Source organism: Homo sapiens, chromosome 7 (genome assembly GCF_000001405.40).
Source record: "Homo sapiens chromosome 7, GRCh38.p14 Primary Assembly".
NCBI lineage: Eukaryota > Metazoa > Chordata > Mammalia > Primates > Hominidae > Homo > Homo sapiens.
Window position 1 is genome coordinate 157,811,999 of NC_000007.14, and position 19,674 is coordinate 157,831,672.

General features: G+C 53.8%; 1 protein-coding gene across 10 annotated transcripts in view, besides 3 other annotated features; it reads right to left on the bottom strand.

The window, feature by feature from the left end:
• The window catches only part of PTPRN2 (protein tyrosine phosphatase receptor type N2), a 1,048,768-nt gene that overhangs the window by 272,943 nt on the left and 756,151 nt on the right, over positions 1-19,674 (bottom strand). The gene's annotated exons all lie outside the window — the stretch shown is intronic.
• Positions 2,793-3,294: an enhancer, noted in NCBI's record as "H3K27ac-H3K4me1 hESC enhancer chr7:157607483-157607984 (GRCh37/hg19 assembly coordinates)". NCBI's record gives its function as "activates a minimal SCP1, AML or CMV promoter by ChIP-STARR-seq in primed H9 embryonic stem cells {active_cell/tissue: H9 hESC(primed)}" and the evidence as "EXISTENCE:reporter gene assay evidence [ECO:0000049][PMID:30033119]".
• Positions 14,434-14,942: an enhancer, noted in NCBI's record as "H3K27ac-H3K4me1 hESC enhancer chr7:157619124-157619632 (GRCh37/hg19 assembly coordinates)". NCBI's record gives its function as "activates a minimal SCP1, AML or CMV promoter by ChIP-STARR-seq in primed H9 embryonic stem cells {active_cell/tissue: H9 hESC(primed)}" and the evidence as "EXISTENCE:reporter gene assay evidence [ECO:0000049][PMID:30033119]".
• Positions 17,111-17,984: an enhancer, noted in NCBI's record as "H3K4me1 hESC enhancer chr7:157621801-157622674 (GRCh37/hg19 assembly coordinates)". NCBI's record gives its function as "activates a minimal SCP1, AML or CMV promoter by ChIP-STARR-seq in naive H9 embryonic stem cells {active_cell/tissue: H9 hESC(naive)}" and the evidence as "EXISTENCE:reporter gene assay evidence [ECO:0000049][PMID:30033119]".

Sequence of the window (19,674 nt, forward strand, 5' to 3'; positions counted from 1 at the left end):
GAAAAAAGCCTCGCTCTGAGGACAGGCAGTGAGAAATGAGGAGGTTCAGGGCAGGCGGACTCCATGTGACTGAGGGTTTGGCCGGGCTCCCCTTATCAACCCGGCATCCCTCGACCATGTTCTCTGGTGCACACAGGTGAGCAGAGGGCAGTGTCTGCTCTGGCCAAGGCAGGGGCACCCCAACATCGCAGCCCCTTTTGGATGTGAGGTCCGCTCATTAGATCCGAGGGGCCGTCCTCCTCCCGTGCTGGGACCCTTGGGGCTTGCCGGGAGAGACGCCCAGAGGGAAGGGGCTTTGTGGGAGGAGGGGTTCCGCTGCCCTTCCTGGGGCACCTGTTTCGCTTTTTGTCTTTCTTTCCTCCCTTTCCACTCCACTCCCTTTGGGGCATGAGGGAGGTGAGGGAGGAGGGTGGGAAGAACAAAGGAGAGAATTCTGAGGAGGGCGTCCTGAGTTCCAGGGACTTCTTTCATCAAGAGGAAAAAGAAAAACTCTTTCAACACTCCCTGTGCATAGGGTGCTAATGAGCTGCAAATTGAAATTATTTGGAGTTTTTCTTAATGGTGAAAAGAAAGAAGTTGTCAGAGGAGACCAGAAACTCTATGTCAGCTGAGAAAGCTGTAAGCGAGAGAGATGAATGGACGGCTCATCTGTGCTTTGGTGCATCTTTCATCAGCCGGTGTCACCCTTGGTAGCCGGGTGCTGGCCAATTTCCATTTAACTTCCATTTAACGTATAGCCAAGGAGGCCCGTGATTTCACCTGTCTGACCCACCACAGATGGGTAGCTGGGCTTCACAGAAATGGAGGTTGAGTTCCCGGAGCGGTAGCCCAGGGCTGGTATGTTGAGAATTCCGTTTGGAAACCAGCGTTGTGCAAACCGGGGTTAGGATGTGGAAAACTCGCCCTCCTTCCAAACCCAGAAGCCTTCGTCTTGGTTTAGAAGTCCCTAAGCCAAGTCCCTACCCACATTCCACGCTGCTCCCTAATTTCACCCGGACCACAGCCTCTGGATGAGCTTCTGTTAAAAAGAGATGACTCGGTGACAAACAGGAGGACGGTGCTCAAATGACTGTGACACGTGCCGTGTATCTGCAAAGACCTGTGCCGTGCTAAAACCACACGCATGGCAGCCTCCCCCAAGCCAACCACCCGGGCCCACAGACAAGCATCTCCAGAGCGCGTGGGACCGTAGAGAAGGCAGTGACAGGGCCAGGGCAAGCCGGTTGGAGAAGTGGAACTTCAGTGGTAAGCCCAGACCTTTGGGACCCCTCACCCTGCCCGGTCCTCCTGCTGTGGGGTGTGAGTCCAGCCAGTGCTGGGAAGCCGGTGTGGCTAGGACAACAAAGACCAAGGACAGCGGGGAACGGTGGGGAGGGAAGAGGGTGGGAGACCAGAGTCAGAGGCGGACAGGGGTTCGATACGCCATTCAGGTCCCCAAAACAGCATGTGCAGCTCTCGTTAAATGGAAAAGGCCCTAATGTCATGGGAAAGTCTAACAATTTGTTAAACTTTGTTAGTGTACAAAATGTGGTGATCCTACTCGTATAAAAAAGAAAGTTCAAATGCGCAGAAGAAAGATCAGAGGACAAGATGCCCACGAATGATAAGCGCCTTTGCTGCCTCTGGGCGGGTCCGGGGGAGTCGCATTTCTTCCTCACTGCATCGCTGTATTTTCCAGATGTCCACTGAGGAATGAGCATTGCTTTTTAATTAGCAGCTGCCCCGAGTGCTCCAGCTGCCCTGCGTGTGGCTGTCTACACAGCACGCATTCCTTACCCCGGTGGTTTTCATCTGGACCCTGAGTCAGAATGGCCTGGAGCGCGGGTAAAACAGCTCGGGGCCAGCCAGAGCTTCTGAGCCAGGGCTGGGCCCAAGAACGTGCATTTGCGTTGTTCCCCAGGTGATGCTGCTGGTGACCCCGGGGACCCCGCCGTGAGAGCCCCGACACAAGTCGCGGTTTGTGGTGCTTTGGAGGAGTTTGCTCCTTAGAGTGAGGGGGATTGTTCTGCCCCAATGGCCTCTTCAGAGCTGCGAGACTGTGCCCACGCGAGGCAGTGGTCGCCACACCCACACTGCCGTGCTGCGCAGGTGAGGCCTGGTGCACGGAGCCCCTGGGGGACACGGCGAAGGGCCTTCTCCTGCCATCTGCTCAGGAACCCCTCCCTGGGCTTGGCCTCCATCTTGACAGGCAGGCGAGGAAGCCCCTGCTGACGCCATTTACAACTGCAAACCTCCCATTTCCTCCCAGGTCCTTAAAGCTCCACATCATAAAACGGATGTGCGCGTGAAGGAAACGTGGGTGTCCACAGAGAGCTCCCCCGGAGAAGGCCACGTCCACGGTGCCGCCTGACAGCAATGGCTTCCTCAGCGTTTGACGGGCAGGGAGAAGGGTGGGGAGGCCACAAGGACAGGAGAACTGGCGCTCGACATGGGGCAGGACGGGAGCAGGATGGGAACAGGAGGGGACAGGAGGGGGCAGGACAGGGACAGAGGAGAGACACGGGGCAGGACGGGGCAGGACGGGGACAGGCGGGGGCAGGACAGAGGGAGGACAGGGACGGAGGAGAGACGGGGGGCAGGAGGGGGCAGGAGGGGGCAGGGAGCCACGTCTTCTCCAATCCCATATGGGGCCATCTGCCACCCTCTGCCCAAAATGTACGATTCACCATGGCAAGGAGGCGAGAAGCGGGGAGATCCCTCTAAACCCAAATGAACACAGAGTGATGGGGCCCCAGCACCCCATCCACAGGCTCATTCCATTATTTGAAAATGTTTCTAAAAACTGAGCTTCTTTTCATCTTTGAATTGGCTTCTTGTCACAGAGCAGCTTTGCAGGCAGCCTGTTTCAGGTGTCCACACTTTGCAGAGGGCGCCTCTGCACAGAAGCGCACGAGTCCCAGATGGAGGGAAGCAAATCTCACCCAACTTTAAATATTTGTTTCTCCAAAGCTACGTGGTCACCCGTGCATGGTGACGGTGATGTTTGATTTCAGGTGACTTTGAGGCTGACCTTCCACACGGGGCCCTGCGTTTCTCTCCTCTGCACCTGAACCCTCCTAGTCTTTATTCTGGGAGCAGCGCGGGAGGCAGTGGAGACGTGGAAGCAGGCTCCGGCTGCTGGGCCTGCATGACCGGTTTCCCTGCAGAAGATTCTGCGCCCTTCAGCCTCACCGTCCTCACCTGGCCTGGGTGCTGCTGTGGGCAGGCGCTGGGCACGCTGGGAAGAGCAGGGCCAGCCGTTTGCAGGACGGGAGGCTGAGGCTGTGTGCACCTCCTGAGGGCTGGGCCACAGGTGGGCTCAGGCCTGCGCCCTCCCATGGCCGTGGCCTCTTCCTCGGTCCTTTGCCCTCCAGGGTGCCAGGCCTAGGCCTCCGCGCATCAGTGTGGTCAAAAGGCAGGACTGGTGTGTGGTGTTTCCTGACATTTTGTTACCTGTAGAGCCACTTAGAGAAGCACCGCTGCCGAGGTGGGAAAGCCGGAGTCCCAGCCAGTGGGCTGAGCTCAGGGTGCTGGGGTCCTGGGCCCAGACTCTGTGCTGGGACCTTGTTTGGAAATAGGGTCTTTCTAGAGGATCACATTTAGATGACGTCATGGGAGTTGGCCCTAGTCCAGTGTTGCTGGCATCCTTTTAAAGGGACATTCGGATGCAGACAGGCACTCATGGGGGTCGACGTGAAGGAGAGAGCCACCCACATCCAAGGACTGTTGGAGGCCACCAGAAGCTGTAGAGATCCTGGGACAGACCACCCTTACAGCCTGCCATGAGCTGGGGCGCGCGCACATGTGTGTAAAGCAGCACACATGCATGCCACAAAGCAGAGGCTAAGCAGTGCACACTGTGCACACTCTGCACACGCTCAGGCGGTGACACGTTGCAGACATCGCTGTGCTTCAGAAAGAGCTGGGCGGCAAGATTCACACAAGTAAGCATGTTGCAGACTCCCCAGCACACGCCCTCTCTGGCTTGTGCTCATATGAACATACTGTCACCCTCGTGCAGATGTGAAGATGTGCTCTCACTCATGCACGTACAGATCACGCCCTCTCGCTGGTGTACATGTGAACACATGCTCCCCTCATATATACAAATACACTCACTCCTTCTCCACCCTTGTTCACAGCAGCAGCCTGAGAAGACACAGAATTCCATGAATTGCAGCCCAGAGACCCCCCAGCCCTGCCGGCTCGCCTCCTGCCTCCCGCCTCCTAGCGTGCTCTGAGGTGGAGACCAGCTGCTGCCCCGTGCCTGCCCCGCCTCCCTGGGCCATGCTGCCTTGCAGACTCTGCTGCTCGGTGTGGTCGGGGGCCTGGGTCGGCCCCAGGGTGAATGAGTGATGGGTTCCACCCTAAACTGGCTGTGGAGACCTTCCACACACTTTCCTCCCCTCCACGAGCTCTAGGGCAGGGCAAGCTTGGAAGCCAAGGGCTGGCAGAGGCCGAGCCAGCCTGGATCTCAGAGTGGCCACACGGAGCAGAGCCACACTCCACCTCAGGACGCTGCACTGGATATGAGTGAGAAACAAACTTTCTTGGGTTAAGTTGTTAAGATTTCGGGGATGTGTTTAAAGTCCCTAGTGTTCTTTTTACTGTCCACTGCCTGTCTCCAGGAGGGGCCCGGGGGCAGGCACTGAAGCCCCCGCAGTCTACAGGCCTCTGGCACTCAGACAGGAGCTCTGCTCTCAGAAAAGCAGGCAGGCTGGCATTCGGCACATCCTTGGAAGCGGGTGGTGCGAGACTCTGCCCTCTACCCTCTGCCCTCTGCCCTCTGCCCTGGCGTTGAGTGCTTTGCTGGGACTGCGGCTCCCTGGCCCCCTCTCTTGCCCCACATGTGGATTCGCACAGACCCTGCAGCATCCCCCTCCCTTTCTCCTCCTCTTTTCTCTTTACTCAGGAATATCCCATCTTAGTTACGGGGCTGGGCACCCCAAGACCTCTCTCTAACAGGGGTCCCCACATCCAGGGCACTGCAGATGGGCTGCCGACCACATGCCTCTGGCCTCCGGCCAGTCTCGGGCCATTTGCTGACACCCCGGAGGCCGATGGGCCCTCTCGCTGCTCAAGGTGGAGGGAGGCTGTGCACCGGGGGTGTCGGCATGGGAGCGCTGTGTTCCGGGGGCGCCGCGGGTCCCTCCTCCCCAGGCTGCTTACGCGTCACACCAGCAGCTCTGATTTAAACCCAAATCCTTTCACATAAAACCCTTCACTTGTGCTCTTAGGAGAGGGTTTTGCACACGTCTGGCTCTGCTTCCCTTCTGCTGCATTTTGCTGGTGCGCTGGGGGTCTGTGTGTCTTATTCGGAGAAGACGTTGCTGCTCCCCCAAACGAAGAATCATGTCACAGGAAACCATGACAAACCCCCCTTTTGACTGTGCCTCCCAGCAGGAGAACAGGGAGCTGAGAAGACAATGAGGAGCAGGCTGTGGGGAAAGGAGAGGTCACTGAGGTCACATGAGTATCAGGCAGATGGTGCCACTGCCGGAGCCACCCCAGAGCCACCATCACGGCACCGTTTCATCCCATCCAGTCCTCCCCACGTCCTCAGGTGGCCAAAGACCACATTACACCACATCTGTCCTCAGGGAAAAGAGGAGAGAATGCATCTGAGAGGACCTGTCGACCAGGGACACACCCGACCTGCACAAAGCAGCATCTGGAGCTACGGCCGGGGCCATCAATGGGGTGAGGGGGCCAAGGAGAGCCCTGGCTGCCCTGCAGAGGGTGTGTCCGTGTGGCCTGTGTGCATGCACGTGTGTGTCTATGTGTAATGTGTGAGAGACGTGTGTGATGTGTGCATGTGTACATGTCTGTGTATGTGTGCATGTTTGGTGTGTGTGTGTAGCGTATGTGTGTGGTGCGTGTGTGTGGTGAGTGCACATGATGTTTGTGTGGTGTGTGTAGTGAGATGTGTGTATGTATCATGTGTGATGTGTATGTATGGTGTATATGTGTGTTATGTGCATGGTGTGTGCCTGTTTGTACATGTGTGATATATGTGTTGTGCGTGGGGCATGTGTGCGGTGTGTGTATATATGTATATGTTTGTGTCTGTGGATGTGTGGCATGTGTGGTGTGTGTGGTGTGTGCATATGTGGTATGTGTGTTGTGTGTACAGTGTGGGTGTGTGTAGTGTGTGTATATGTGTATGTGCATGTGTGGTGTGTGTGGTAGGTGTGTGGTGTGTGTGCATTCATGTGAAAGTGTGTGCACATGTGTGTTTGCATGCATGTGTATGTGTGTGCCCGTGCATGTGTGGTGTATGGTATGTGTGTGGTAGATGCCGGCAGTGTGTTGGTCATAGGGAGGGAAGGTGGAGGCTGCGGTCTAGCAGCAGAGAAACAGATGGGTGGTTTTTTCTAAAGCGTGGGAAATGACACGGGGGCTGTGTGGCCTCAGAGATGGGTGGGGTCATTGGGGAGCTGGATCAATAATCTGGACATTTGGGAAGATGTCTTGGGGGCCAGGTGCCCAAGCTACATCTTCAACGATGAGGAAGACAGGAAACGGGGAGGGACGTCTCAAGAGAGGGCGTGGCCTGAGCCAAGGAGTTCAGGTGGCAGCTTCCAGAAGGGCAGAGGCCACGACACCGAGGCCCCCAGCTGGTGCCTCCTGTGGCTGAGTGATGAGGGGCACTGGAGTCCAAGGCCCTGGGTGTGAGTCCCTGGGATGCTAAAATTTAATTTCCTCATGTGCCAAATGAAGACAATATAGTATTTACCCCTCAGGCAATTATTAGGAAGATTAAATGTTAATTTTAGAGAAAATGTAAAACATAAATGCTTTTGTGATTAATTAATTCATTAATTACGTGTGGAGAACCTCCTGGGTGCCAGGCACATGGCACTCCAGCCACAAACAGGAGAAGCTGGCCCGCCCTCCTCCAGCAGCCCTCGCCCAACACACCCCTCCTCTGAAACCAGCAAGGCCAGGCCCAGGCACCCGTGACAACTGCACCCCGAGCCACCTCTCAGGACAGGCCAGGCCCAGGCACCCATGAAATCTGCACCCTGAGCCTCCTCTCAGGACAGAGGCCATCAGCCCACGTGCCTGTGGGATTCTTCATTTCTGCCACTAAGCTGCCCTGTGGACACCACTGGCCCCAGCCCCCCAAACACCTGCTGGGCCTGGGTCCACAGTGGCCCACCTGCACCCGCTCAGGGTGGCCTGGGCAGCCCCCTTCGGAAGCCCAGGGCTCTGCTGCCTGGGAGCTCCAGCACCCAGGGACGCGCTCATTTGGCGCTGGGTCTTCCAAAGTGAGCCCTCACCCCCATGCCTCATCAGCATGGCCCTGACAGGGACAGGAGTGTGGTAGAGGACTTGGGTTAATAAGTGAGATTTTTAACAGGCTCCGCTCAGCTGGCTCTGTCGGCTCGAGTCTGAGCCCATCCGTCAGCGTCAATTAGGAAGCCTCAGCTCAGAACGCAACACCAGGGGCTGCGCAGAGGAAGAAGCGCGAGGGCGCCCTGCAGGCTCACAGCGCCTGAGCACACACCGAGCGGCCGCAGCACAGCCCTCCCTCCCGCCCCAAGCACACACCGAGCGGCCACGGCACAGCCCTCCCCGCCCCAAGCACACACCGAGTGGCCGCAGCACAGCCCTCCCGCCACAAGGGTACACCAAGCGGCCACGGCACAGCCCTCCCCACCCCTACCTCCTTTTGGCAGCGCAGGTGCATTCAGGGGAGCGTGCTGGATGGGAGGGGGCTCCCTGTCACGTCTCCTGGAAGGATGGGATCCCTCTGCACGCCCCATCACCCGCCCACCCACTGCCAGCCATGGGCACACACACAATATTTGTGTATTCATGAACACGCAAAACACACTCACACATGCGATCACACTGCATGACCCCCCCCACACCCACACATGCAGTCACACACACGCACACAACAGACACATGCTTATGTGCACACACACAACACACCTGCACTAGCCCAGGCACTCACACATACATGAACACAGCAGACCCAAACACGTTCACACGCACAACACACCCACACACACAGAGGCACTCCACACACACATGCACACACACACCCACAGTCACACATGCACCACCACACACATACAGCAGATCCACAATGTATATGCACACACACAACACATCCACACTCACACATGCACTCCACATACATGCACACAGCAGACCCCCACACACGCACACACATATAGAACACCCACACTTATGCACTCACATATATATGAACACAGCAGACCCACACAGTCACACACCAACACATTCACACATGCAATCCACACATGCAGCAGACACACACACGTGCACACACCACACCCATGTCACACACAGCAGACCCACACACGTTCACACACACAACACAGTCACATATGCACTCAAACATACATGCACACAGCAGACCCATATATATGCATATTCAAACACACAACACATCCACACTCACACATGCACTCCACACACCTGCACACAGCAGATCCCCACACACATGCACACAAACACCCACACTCATACACGCACTCACAGCAGATCCAACACACGCATTCTTACACATGCACACAGCAGACCCACACACGTGCACACACACGCACACACACTCATACATGCACTCACAGCAGACTCCCCCACACACGCATTCTTACACATGCACACAGCAGACCCCTACACACGTGCACACACACATGCACACACACATACACACACCTTCACCTGAGGCCAAGCCAAGGGGGAGTGATCTGGGAAGTGGCATCTGGAGGCTGAGGAACCTCAGAGCATTTCTTCTTTTGCATCTGAGGTTTCAAAACCCATGAGAATGATCTTGGAGTTATTCCTTATTCTCTACATGCCAGGAAAGGTGAAATCAGAAAGGAGAGGATTTGACAGCCTCACCCAGAGGGAAAGTGTCAGGCTGGGGCTCACTTTTTGCCCTTTGGAGCCGAGGATGAAGGAAACAGTAACTGCCACAGGGCAGCAGGAGTGCACCCCGCAGCCTGGTGGAGTCTCCCACGCTGGAGGGGAGGCAAGAGTGCACCCTGCAGCCTGGTGGAGTCTCCCATGCTGGAGGAGAGGAGGATGAGGCCAGGCATACTGGACAGCTTGTGTGACCCCAAGGCAGGCATGGCAGGATCTAGGTGCAGATGACACACCCAGCATCCTTGTGCCAATGCCACTCGGGTGTACTTTGCTGCCTCTGCTGAATGTAGGTGGAAGAAGGCAACTCACCTGTGAACAGTGCTGTCCTCTCTCCTGAGAACCAGCACAATCATAAGTTTGGAGACAACAACAAGAATTCAGTTTTAGTTATGAGAGGCCTATAAGACCTCTGAGTAAAGACATAACTCTAGGATCTGGTCAGAGCTATAAATTCAGGGTCAATTCACTCCATGGCTGCCATTTGGAGTTATACAGATGAATGAGGTCATGGAGGGAGGTGGTGTCTGGAGAGAAGTGTCCTGAGGAACCCAGCATTTGGAGAGCATGTGGGGAGGCCACCATTGATGAGCCTGAGAAAGAGCAGCCAGAGACATCGGAGATGAAGGTGAGCCCAGCATGGTTGACACCAAGACAAGAGGAAGTTTTGAGAAGGGGCTTATTAGCTCTCAAAAGCTGATGGAGAGCCCACAGTTGATGAGGATTGAAGAGTGGCCATTGGCTTCAGCACCATGAAATCACAGCTGGCCTTGGTTGGCATGGTGGGATAGAAGCCACTCTGAATGAGCTGGAGTCTGCACCTGTGGCCGGGGCAGAGGCAGTGGCTGAGGTAGATGGAGGATTGGGGAGAATGCAAACAGGAAGACAAATAAACCAGAGGCCAGGGAAACCAATGGTTGTTGATGTCACAGAGAATGATGACATAGGTTGTGGTGAAGATAATTGTGAGAGACGTGACTAAGGGGGAGGAGGGACATGGGTTAGGAAGCCATTCATCCATCCAGGCACTCATTCATCCATCTATATATACACTATCCATCATCCATACACCCACTCATCCACCCATCCATCCATCTGTACACTATCCATCATCCATCCATCTACTCATCTATCCATCCCTCCCTCTATCTATACACCATCCAATAACCATCCATTCACTCATCCATCCATCTATATACTATCCATCAATCACCCATACACTCATCCATCCACTCATCCACTATCCATTGTGCATTCATCTACCCACTCATCCATTCATCCATCTATACACTATCCATCATCCATCCAAATACTCATCCATCCATCTATATACGATCCATTATCCATCTATACACTCATCCATCCATCCACTCACCCACTATCCATCATCCATCCATAATACACTCATGCATCCATCCACCCATCTGCTATCCATGAGCCATCCTCCCACTCATCCATCCATCCATCCGTCCATCCATCTATACACTATCCATCCACCTACTCATCTATCCATCTATATACTATCCATTAACTATCCATCCACTCATCTATCCATCTATATACTATCCATCATCCATCTATCCACTCATCCACCCATCTATATGCTATCCATCATCCATCCACCTATATATTAGCCATTATCTATCCATAATACACTTATCCATCCATCCAATCATCCGCTATCCATTATCTTTCCATAATACACTTATCCATTCATCCAATCATCCACTATCCATCATCCATCTACCCTTTCATCCATCCATTCATCTACCCATCCACTCACCATGCATCCATCTACACACTATCCATTATCTATCCATCCACTCTTCTATCCACCCATCCACTATCCATCTACCCATCCACATATCCCATCATCCATGCGTACATGCATCCATCCTTCCTCCTATATATCCATCAGCCCATCCATCCATCCATCCTTATATCCATCCACTATCCATCTATCCATCCACCCATCATCCATGCAGGCATCCATCCTTCCTCTCATCCATCAGCCAATCTGTCATCCATCCATCCACTCATCCATCCATTTATCTATATACTATCCATCACTTATCCATGTATTCATCCACTATCAAGCATTCATCCATCCACCCATGATCCATACAGACATACATGCACCCATCCATCTTTCTATCCTTCCATCCTTCTATCCACTCATCCATTCACCCACTATCCATCATCCATCCATGCATGCATCCATCTATCCTTCCTTCCATCCATTCTGTCCATCTACCTATGGAAGCATATATCCATCCATCCATCCATCCAGATTTCTATTGAGGACCCATATTGTTAAAAAATAGAGCTAATAATCACCTAAAATATTTAATAAAACCTTAAAACACATAAATACCTAAAATACTAAAGCCTGGCAAAATAACAAATTATTAGAATAAGTTCAAGAAATTCTAATTAATGTTTGCAAGATTATGTTATCATTAGCTTCAAGACACTCCTAGCCTCAGGCTCAGGGTATAGGCAAAAAATTAACACCTAGTACTTGACAATGAGCGTCCGTACCTGGGCTGTGATTATGAGCAGCTGCTTCTGATTACAATCAGTGAATCACTAATCTGCAGTCTGCTACAAAACAGCTGGACTCCATCTATTATTCATTCTTGATGTGGAGATATCCAGAATGGAGAGACTAGAATTGGACTCCTAGGATCCCTGTTGTCTTCATCCCCCAAGGATGTTCTGGTTTGGAAGTTGTGTTTCTGAGGCCCCTGACATCCAAGACTACAGGTTAGATCATCAAGTTCATATGACAGGCAAGGACTGGTGAAGTTTTCAGATTTTCTCACTCATTGGCTAGCATTCCTTTGAACTCTTCAAAGGCTTGATATATATAGTCTACCTTAAACATCTGGGGATTTGATGTCCTGAGACTTAGGTTTTGATCACATCAAGCTTTTCCCTAAGCATGAAAATTTTGCTCAAATAATTCAGATACCCTAACCAGCCTGTGTCTCTAAGGGGAATCTGGAGGGCAAAGTGGGGAGGAGGTTGAATCAGTCCTTCGTTCCACAGCTGGGTATGAGACAGACAGAGAAATTAGAAGTGTTTTTTCCTTTTTCCTCCTTACTCTAGAGATGAGCAGATGGACTGGCTCAAAAGTGGCCTGGACTTCAAGCCCTCATAGAGAACTGATGCATCTCAAGTCACCTTCGCTCTGCCATCAGTAACAATCCCCCTGAACCCAGCGAGAGCACACGGCCCCAGAGCTCAGACCGTCAGTGGGGTTTGTGCACAGCCTCCTGTGACCCTCCTGAAGGTAGGAGCTGACCACAAGTCCTCCTCCCAAGGCAGGGGCGAGCTCAGCTTGCCGACGGCTGCCAGAGAGTCACCCTCCTGAAGGTAGAAGCTGACCACAGGTCCTCCTCCTAGGGCAGGGGGCGAGCTTGTTGTGCCGACCGCTGCCAGAGAACCACAAGAGGGCCTTCCCCTTTGCACCTGAAGCCTTAATTAGCAGGTTTGTCTTGGGATGTTAAGGATGGGAGGCCTCTGTCTGGTGCCCCACCTGTCCAATGGGCAGCAGCTTCCCGAGGACAAGTGCATGCTGTCCGTGGATTCTCTGTGCCTGCATGGCGTGAGGTGTGTCACTGACACTCAGGGACTCTTTGCTGACTCAAGGCTGCCACACAGGCCCCCGGAAGAACTCGGTAGGAACTCTGGACTGTTGGCAACTGAGCCTCCCGCAAAATAGGGAATGGAGGCTGCCCCATTCCGGAGGGACATGGTGAGACCTGGCTCGACAGGAAGTTCTAGAGGACAGGCATGCTTTTGGGTCACTGGCTGTCTGTTGGTGGGCAGAAGAGTCTTTGGGTGTGAACCTGGATGCTACACTGCAGTGACCCCCAACTAGTGCTGTGCCCCAAATACTTGGGCAGAAGGCAACACTCCTCAGAGAAAGGGTGACCTGTTTCCCGTGAGGCAGAACCCGCCTCGCCTTGGCTGGAGCAGATGATGGAACCACTTCCACATGCTGAATGAAGCCACAAAGCAGGCGGATCACGAGCGGCACCCAGGGCCCACATTAGGGCTGAGTCATGCTGGGAAAACTGAGGGCCTGGGGAGTCAGCCAATGTGGCCCCAAGGACCCTGCAGACCCCACCCCATCTCAAGGCAGCTTGGCTCAGGGCAAACGAGGATTCTTCACCATCCCAGGCCTGCTGGTCTTCCTCTGCTTCCTTGGAGCCTCTGGTCTGTAGCTGGACACGTGGATGAAGTTTCTCTTTCCCAGCCTTTCTTGAAGCTGGACATGCGACTCGGTTCTGGCCAAGGCAACCCAAGTGAGAGTTGTGTGCTGCTTTCAGGGAGTGTCTCATGGTGGGACGCGCGCCCTGCTCCTCTTCTTCCCCCTTCCTGCTGGCTGAAATGAGACCTGGATGGTGGGATCTCCAGCAGCCATCTGGGATCATGAGGAGCAGCTCAGGGCTGAGGGCTGGAGCGGCAGGAGTAGAACACCTTGTTTCTGGGACCTCAGAGGCTGCAAGGTCCTCAGACTGCCTCCCCCCCAGACTTCTTCCACAGGAAATGAAAGTGCATTTCCAGCTCATTTAAGCCACTTTTATTTTTTATTTTCTGTCACACTCAGTCACACTAATCCTGACTAATACACACGTGTTTGCCAGTGAACAGATTATCCTCTCAAAAGTGTCAAAATGCCACGTCAGTGTATGAATCACACCTTTGAACAATGAAGGCTCCCGTGTTAAGAGGACGAGTGAGCTCTGCTGCCTGGACCACTGCCCTCCACATTTGTTCATGTCTGAGTTCACACCTGGGGCTCACACAGGTATCTCTCTCGAGGCAGACCTCAGGCGCCTTCTCTGCAGATCTGAGAAAACCTGGCTGGATCCCGGGGGAGCAGCAGCGCTGGCCCCAGCCCCATTCAGCTTCCACCACTCAGCTTCTCTGCCGAGCTCCCAGGCACTGTTCTGGAGACCTCAAGGCTCCAGGAGACAAAAAGTAGCATCACTGTAGAGAGCTTCTGGATGTCTGTGGCTTAGGGGTGCTTGAAAAGTTACAGATGCTCTTTTGTACACTGAGTCAAGGCTTTGGAGAAGCGCAAGTGCTTTATTCACCACTTTCACTTTGTTCCCCCGTGCATGTAAGGGGTCAGGCAATCCCCTCTGCTCAAGCCACCACCAGTAAATAGAACGGCAGCACAACCGTGATCACCACAGTCATCACAATGAGCGCCATTTCCACGCGTGCTGTGCTGAGATGACAACACAACTGTGATGACCACAATCATCACAACGAGCGCCATTTCCACGCGTGCTGTGCAAAGACAGCAGCACGAACACGATCGTCACAATCGCGAGCGCCATTTCCACGCGTGCTGTGCAAAGACGGCAGCACGAACACGATCGTCACAATCGCGAGCGCCATTTCCACGCGTGCTGTGCAAAGACGGCAGCACGAACACGATCGTCACAATCGCGAGCGCCATTTCCACGCGTGCTGTGCAAAGACGGCAGCACGAACACGATCGTCACAATCGCGAGCGCCATTTCCACGCGTGCTGTGCAAAGACGGCAGCACGAACACGATCGTCACAATCGCGAGCGCCATTTCCACGCGTGCTGTGCAAAGACGGCAGCACGAACACGATCGTCACAATCGCGAGCGCCATTTCCACGCGTGCTGTGCAAAGATGGCAGCACGAACACGATCGTCACAATCGTGAGCGCCATTTCCACGCGTGCTGTGCTAAGCTGTATTTCACCCTCACGCCAGGCAACAAGGTGGGCATTACTCTTCCCAGTTCACAGGTGAGGGCCCTGGTAATCTCAGCGGAGCCTGGCGGGGACTTGGGGGTGTCACAGGAGCAAGTGGGAGTCCTGATTGCAGAGGGTGGGGACCATGGCATCCCAGAGGGTGGGCAGAACATGGCTTTAGGATGTCACCGTCCTCCTGTGAGGTCATGGGGCAATGGGGAGCCAGGAAAGGCGCCCATATATCCTGCGCACGGGGCAGCGAATTCATCTGCCCAGGAGCACGACTTATCCCACAGGCACCAGAGGGGTCTATACTGACCCGGCTCCTGCACAGGACCCTCCAAATGTCTTCAAGTTGTCCTGCATCTCCGACCGTGTCCCCAGCAGACACATTGCACTAGAGATGATGCTTCCTTGGTCAAAACACTAGGTTCTCTGGTCCTAACACAACACTGCCAGACATCTGAAGTTACTATATTTTCTAACCAAGCAGACTGGCTATGAGTTTTTCTAACTGAATGTCATCCAAAACCTAACCCTAACTCCTGTATAAACATTGTTTTCAAACTCATGAAGCATCAAAGGCCCTTGTGGTTTTCTGGAGTTTCCATTCTCTAGAGCTTTTCGACAACACCCTGCATTTGGGTTTTCATCTTGAGCCCTCATATTATCTCATTCGATTCCTGCAGCGGTTTTGAGAGGTGGGCACCCATTTATGGATGAAGGAAGCCAGAGACCACAACACAACACAACACAACACAACACAACACAACACAACACAACACAGTGTGGGCCGTGGCTGTCTGGAGGCCAAGCTCGATCAGAATGTCCCTGGGCACTGTCTGGGGGCCTGAGAAAGCGTTCGGGCTGTGTGGGTGGTGGGGGTTGGACCTAAGACCTCCAGTGAGGCGTGACGTCCTCCATTCAATTCACTTATTTCCCCCATGGGGGCTGAGTTGTCCTTCAAACCCAGTGGCCCAGGGAGTGGGCACTGCGTCCACAAAGGACCCCTCCGGCATTTGGGGGAACCCAGTGTGCTCTGCAGATGTTCCTTGAGCGAGGACTGAGGACCAGGTGCTGGGGTGCCTTGGAGGAGGGCGGTTGGTGGTGTCTCCACTACGACTCACCGTGCCGGGGTGGATGTGGCCCCTGAGCTGCCGGCCCCGCCCTCGCCGGCTGTGATGCTTTGACTCAGGGACGGCCACCGTGTCACGGGCTGTTCCCAGAGTCTCAGTGCCTTCCTCGGGCTGCACGTTCTGATTTTGTTTTTTTTTGAAAAGGTAAACATAAAGAAAATGCTTGAAGCCCCAGGACACAGTTGGGCTGACAGGTCTCCGCAAGGCAGCTGCCCTGGAGGGTCCCTCAGACGGCAGCTTGGGGTGCAGCTCTGGGCGTCCCCACCGTGGGACCTGCCTGCCTTCACGGCCACGGAAGTACATTTCGTAAGTTCTGGTTTTCCTCCTTCCTGACATTAATTTTCCCCACATGCAGATGGAGCTGGGACCAGCCTCTGGGTTAAAATTCAGCATCACGTCTTACTCAGAGGAAGATGGTGGGAGGTCCTCATGCTTCTCTGAGCCCCTTCCACGCGTGTGGTCACCACAGTCTCCCTTTTCCAACCTGTCCGGATGCCCCTGCTGTAGGCTGTAGACAGACTGTCCACCTTGCTACAGACTGTAGATGCTGAGCTGTGTCTTCACGAGCAACCACAGAAGAGGCCACGTTGACTACAGAGCCCATGGACGGAACAGCGATCGGATACAAGACTTGCCCCCACTTCCGCAAGCCCTCGGCACCCACAGCTGTGCCCCTCGGGACCACTTCCCTGCCCCAGAGCCATCCGTGTCATCAGCACCAAGACTATATGGTGAAGGAAGAGTCTGGAAAGTGGCAGCAGCTCACAGCAAGACCCTGAGAGACGTCCTGGTTACTGCAGGTATGATCACAGCAAGACCCTGAGAGATGTCCTGGTTACTGCAGGTATGATCACAGCAAGACCCTGAGAGATGTCCTGGTTACTGCAGGTACAAACAGTCAAATCAAGTATCTGTTTATGAGACATTCAACAAAACCAGGTAAACTGAAATCTATGGCAAAGTACCAACTTCCTGCCAAACAGCTGACAAGTAAGACAGGGTCTGTCTGTGTTGCCGACTCCCGAAAATGCCCACTTTGGCTAAAAAGGTCCAGTAGTGGAGAATTTTAACAACGCCACTCAGTTTTATTTGCGTAACCCCCTATAAAAGTGACCTCCAAGGGCAAGCCGTTTGGAGTCACCAATTCAGGAACGAAGATGGTGTCACTGTTTTCTCCAACTGTATTTCTTTATGCATCATGGTTTTTATAATTTTCTAAGGGAAATTGATGACATCCCCATCTTAAAACCAAACACAATTTGAATTTCAAATGCACTTGGAGTTCTTCCTTCCAGGACACGTCTGCGATGCCAGCGCGGGGCGCAGCCGGGCGCGGGATGCTCGTGAGCCGTGAGCTTTGATTCTGAAATATGTAATACATTTTTAATAAGGACAACTAAATTTGTTTCCCTAGAAATGTATTTTGAAGAGTCCATAATAAACTGTCTTCTACAATGAGGAGCTATTTAAAGTCAAAAACAAAAAGGCAAGGGTCCCGTCTTGCTGCGAGTGTTGGGGCAGGTGCTATCTGAACACGGTGGCGCAAAAGAGATGAGGCCTCGCCACTGATCAAACACTCGGCTGGTAAGTAGAAGTCCTTAAAAAAGACGAACATCAAACAGGTCCTCATCTGGGGCGCTCTTTTTGTGGGGTCACCCTGACCGTGAGGCCACAGATGCGGGCCCGTGTGCACCGCAGGCCATACGTGGGGTTAGGTAAGTTTGAAAGTCTGGACAAGGCTGTCATTAAAGCGTAGGTGATGCTAAACGGCGTGAAAGCCTCTGCTTTCTAGAGGCTCCAGCAAGACTGACACGGAAAAGCTGAGGACGAGGATGTTGGTGAAGACTCCTTACAAAGGCGGAAGGCGCCACACTGTGAGCTGAGCCATCTCTGCAATGGAAGGACAGAGCATGACCGTGCACCCACCTGCTGAGAGCCCAAGTGGCTGCCCCAGCACCACCCCGTCCAGAGGGCCGGGAGAGCAGCCGCATTGAAGGTCGCTCCAGGAAAAGCCCTGGCCCGACTCCTCAGGCATGATGGTACAGATGTTGACTTGGCGGCAACACGTTTGTCCCTGGGCAAACTCTGTTTCACCCTGAATCTCATGATGGTGATGTCTCCTCTGCCCCATGGCAGCTGCCTGCCCTGCACCTCTGCAGTGGCAGCTCCACCTGTCTGTGGGCCGTGCTTCTAGCTGCACTGTCCCTCCATGCTTCCAAAGACATTGTGTCCTGGTCACCAGAACTCCTGGTCTGCAGTATCCTCTCTCCCCCGTGTTACCACCCCCTCCTGCCCCACCCTCCCTCCCACTGTCCTTTCTGGATGGTGTCCTTGACCTCCTGTCTTCCTGCTCTTGGTCCCATGGGAAGTGCCAACCCTGGAAGAAAGGAGGGGCTGGCTTCTCTGTGCCTGCTCACTGGCAGCTGAGCACCCCCAGGGGCATCTGGGGTCCCTGAATTCACAGTCCTCATCCTCAGACTCAGGGGCATCCAGCCCACCCTTCTTCCCTACTCAGCCCTTAAAAAGAGGCACATGGTAAAAGGCTGCTGGTAACAAGATACCCCTAAGTTCTCAAGGTATCATCCTGCAAATCAACGATGAATTACCAAGGGAAGAATTTACCTTTACAATGGAGTGATGTGGCAGGTGCCTCTTTTACCAAAGCGACTGCACTTGGCATTGTCCCAGCAGGGAGGGGCTGGCCGTGCACCCGCTGTGGCTGGAGGCACACACATCACCACGCGGGGAGGGGTTGACCGTGCACCTGCTGTGGCCGGAGGCACACACATCGCCACGCGGGGAGGGGCTGACCGTGCACCCACAGCTGCCGGAGGCACACACATCACCACATGCTGAAGACCTGCATCTGAATCTAGTAGTGTGGGGCAATCCAACAGGCCCAGGCCACAGGATATCCCACAGGACAAGCCTGGTTTCTCTAACAATTGCAATGCTAGAAAAGACCAAAACTAAAACGTAAAGGTAGAAGTATTCTAGAACAAAGAAAATCCGAGATGTCACAACAAAACACAGCATTCACCCTTGATTGGAATCTGGATTAAAAATAAAAAGCAAGCTATTGGGACAACGGGAAAACTGGCCACATACGAACGTGTGCTAAGTAACGTCACTGCTTCCAGGCTGCACGCTGGGGGATGATGCAGACACTCCCTTTTCTGCACCTCACGGGGAAGTTTTGTGATGTCTGCAGCAACCTTTGTGACTTCCATCCAGACACACAGGTAAATGACAGAGTTGCAGGCATGACTGAGAGCTCAAAGTTGGTGACTCTGGAGGAAGAGGGTGCAGGTGCTCATTTTACTCTTCTTTCAACTTGTTTGACAGTGTGGAGTTTGCAAAATAAAATTCTGGGATAAAGGGAGAAGCACAGGAAGAGGGACTCCTTGCTGTGAGCCCAGCTGTGGGGAGGAACTGCTCGGGCCCTGCAGCATCTTACAAGGGGTGCAGGGAAGTCCAGAGACAGAAGCCCCCATGGTGCAGGCCTGTCCCAGCGACCTGTAGCCTCATCCAGCACTGCGGCCACTCCTCCTCCAGGTGTCCCGCCATGTGCAGCCGTGAATATCCTGTAGTCTAAGCCTTCTCTCGTTGGGGTTTTCTGTTATTTCTTCCCGAAGCATCTTAACTGATGCGGGTTCTGTGTCCAGGGAAGAGCAGGGCAGGGCTGGGTGCATTTGGAGTTGCCCTGGGGCTGGGGCTGGGAGACGGAGCTGCCCTCCCCATCCCTGTCCACGGCCCCTCTCACCCTGCAGTACTGAGCAGGGTGAGGCAGGGAAGAGGAGGAGCAGAGGAGTGGCTGGGAGGGTCTCAGTGAGCATTTCAGAGCCATCTCCACCTGTCAGAACGAGCAGGAAGACATCCAACCCTTATTGGGAGTCTACACAGGTGTTCTG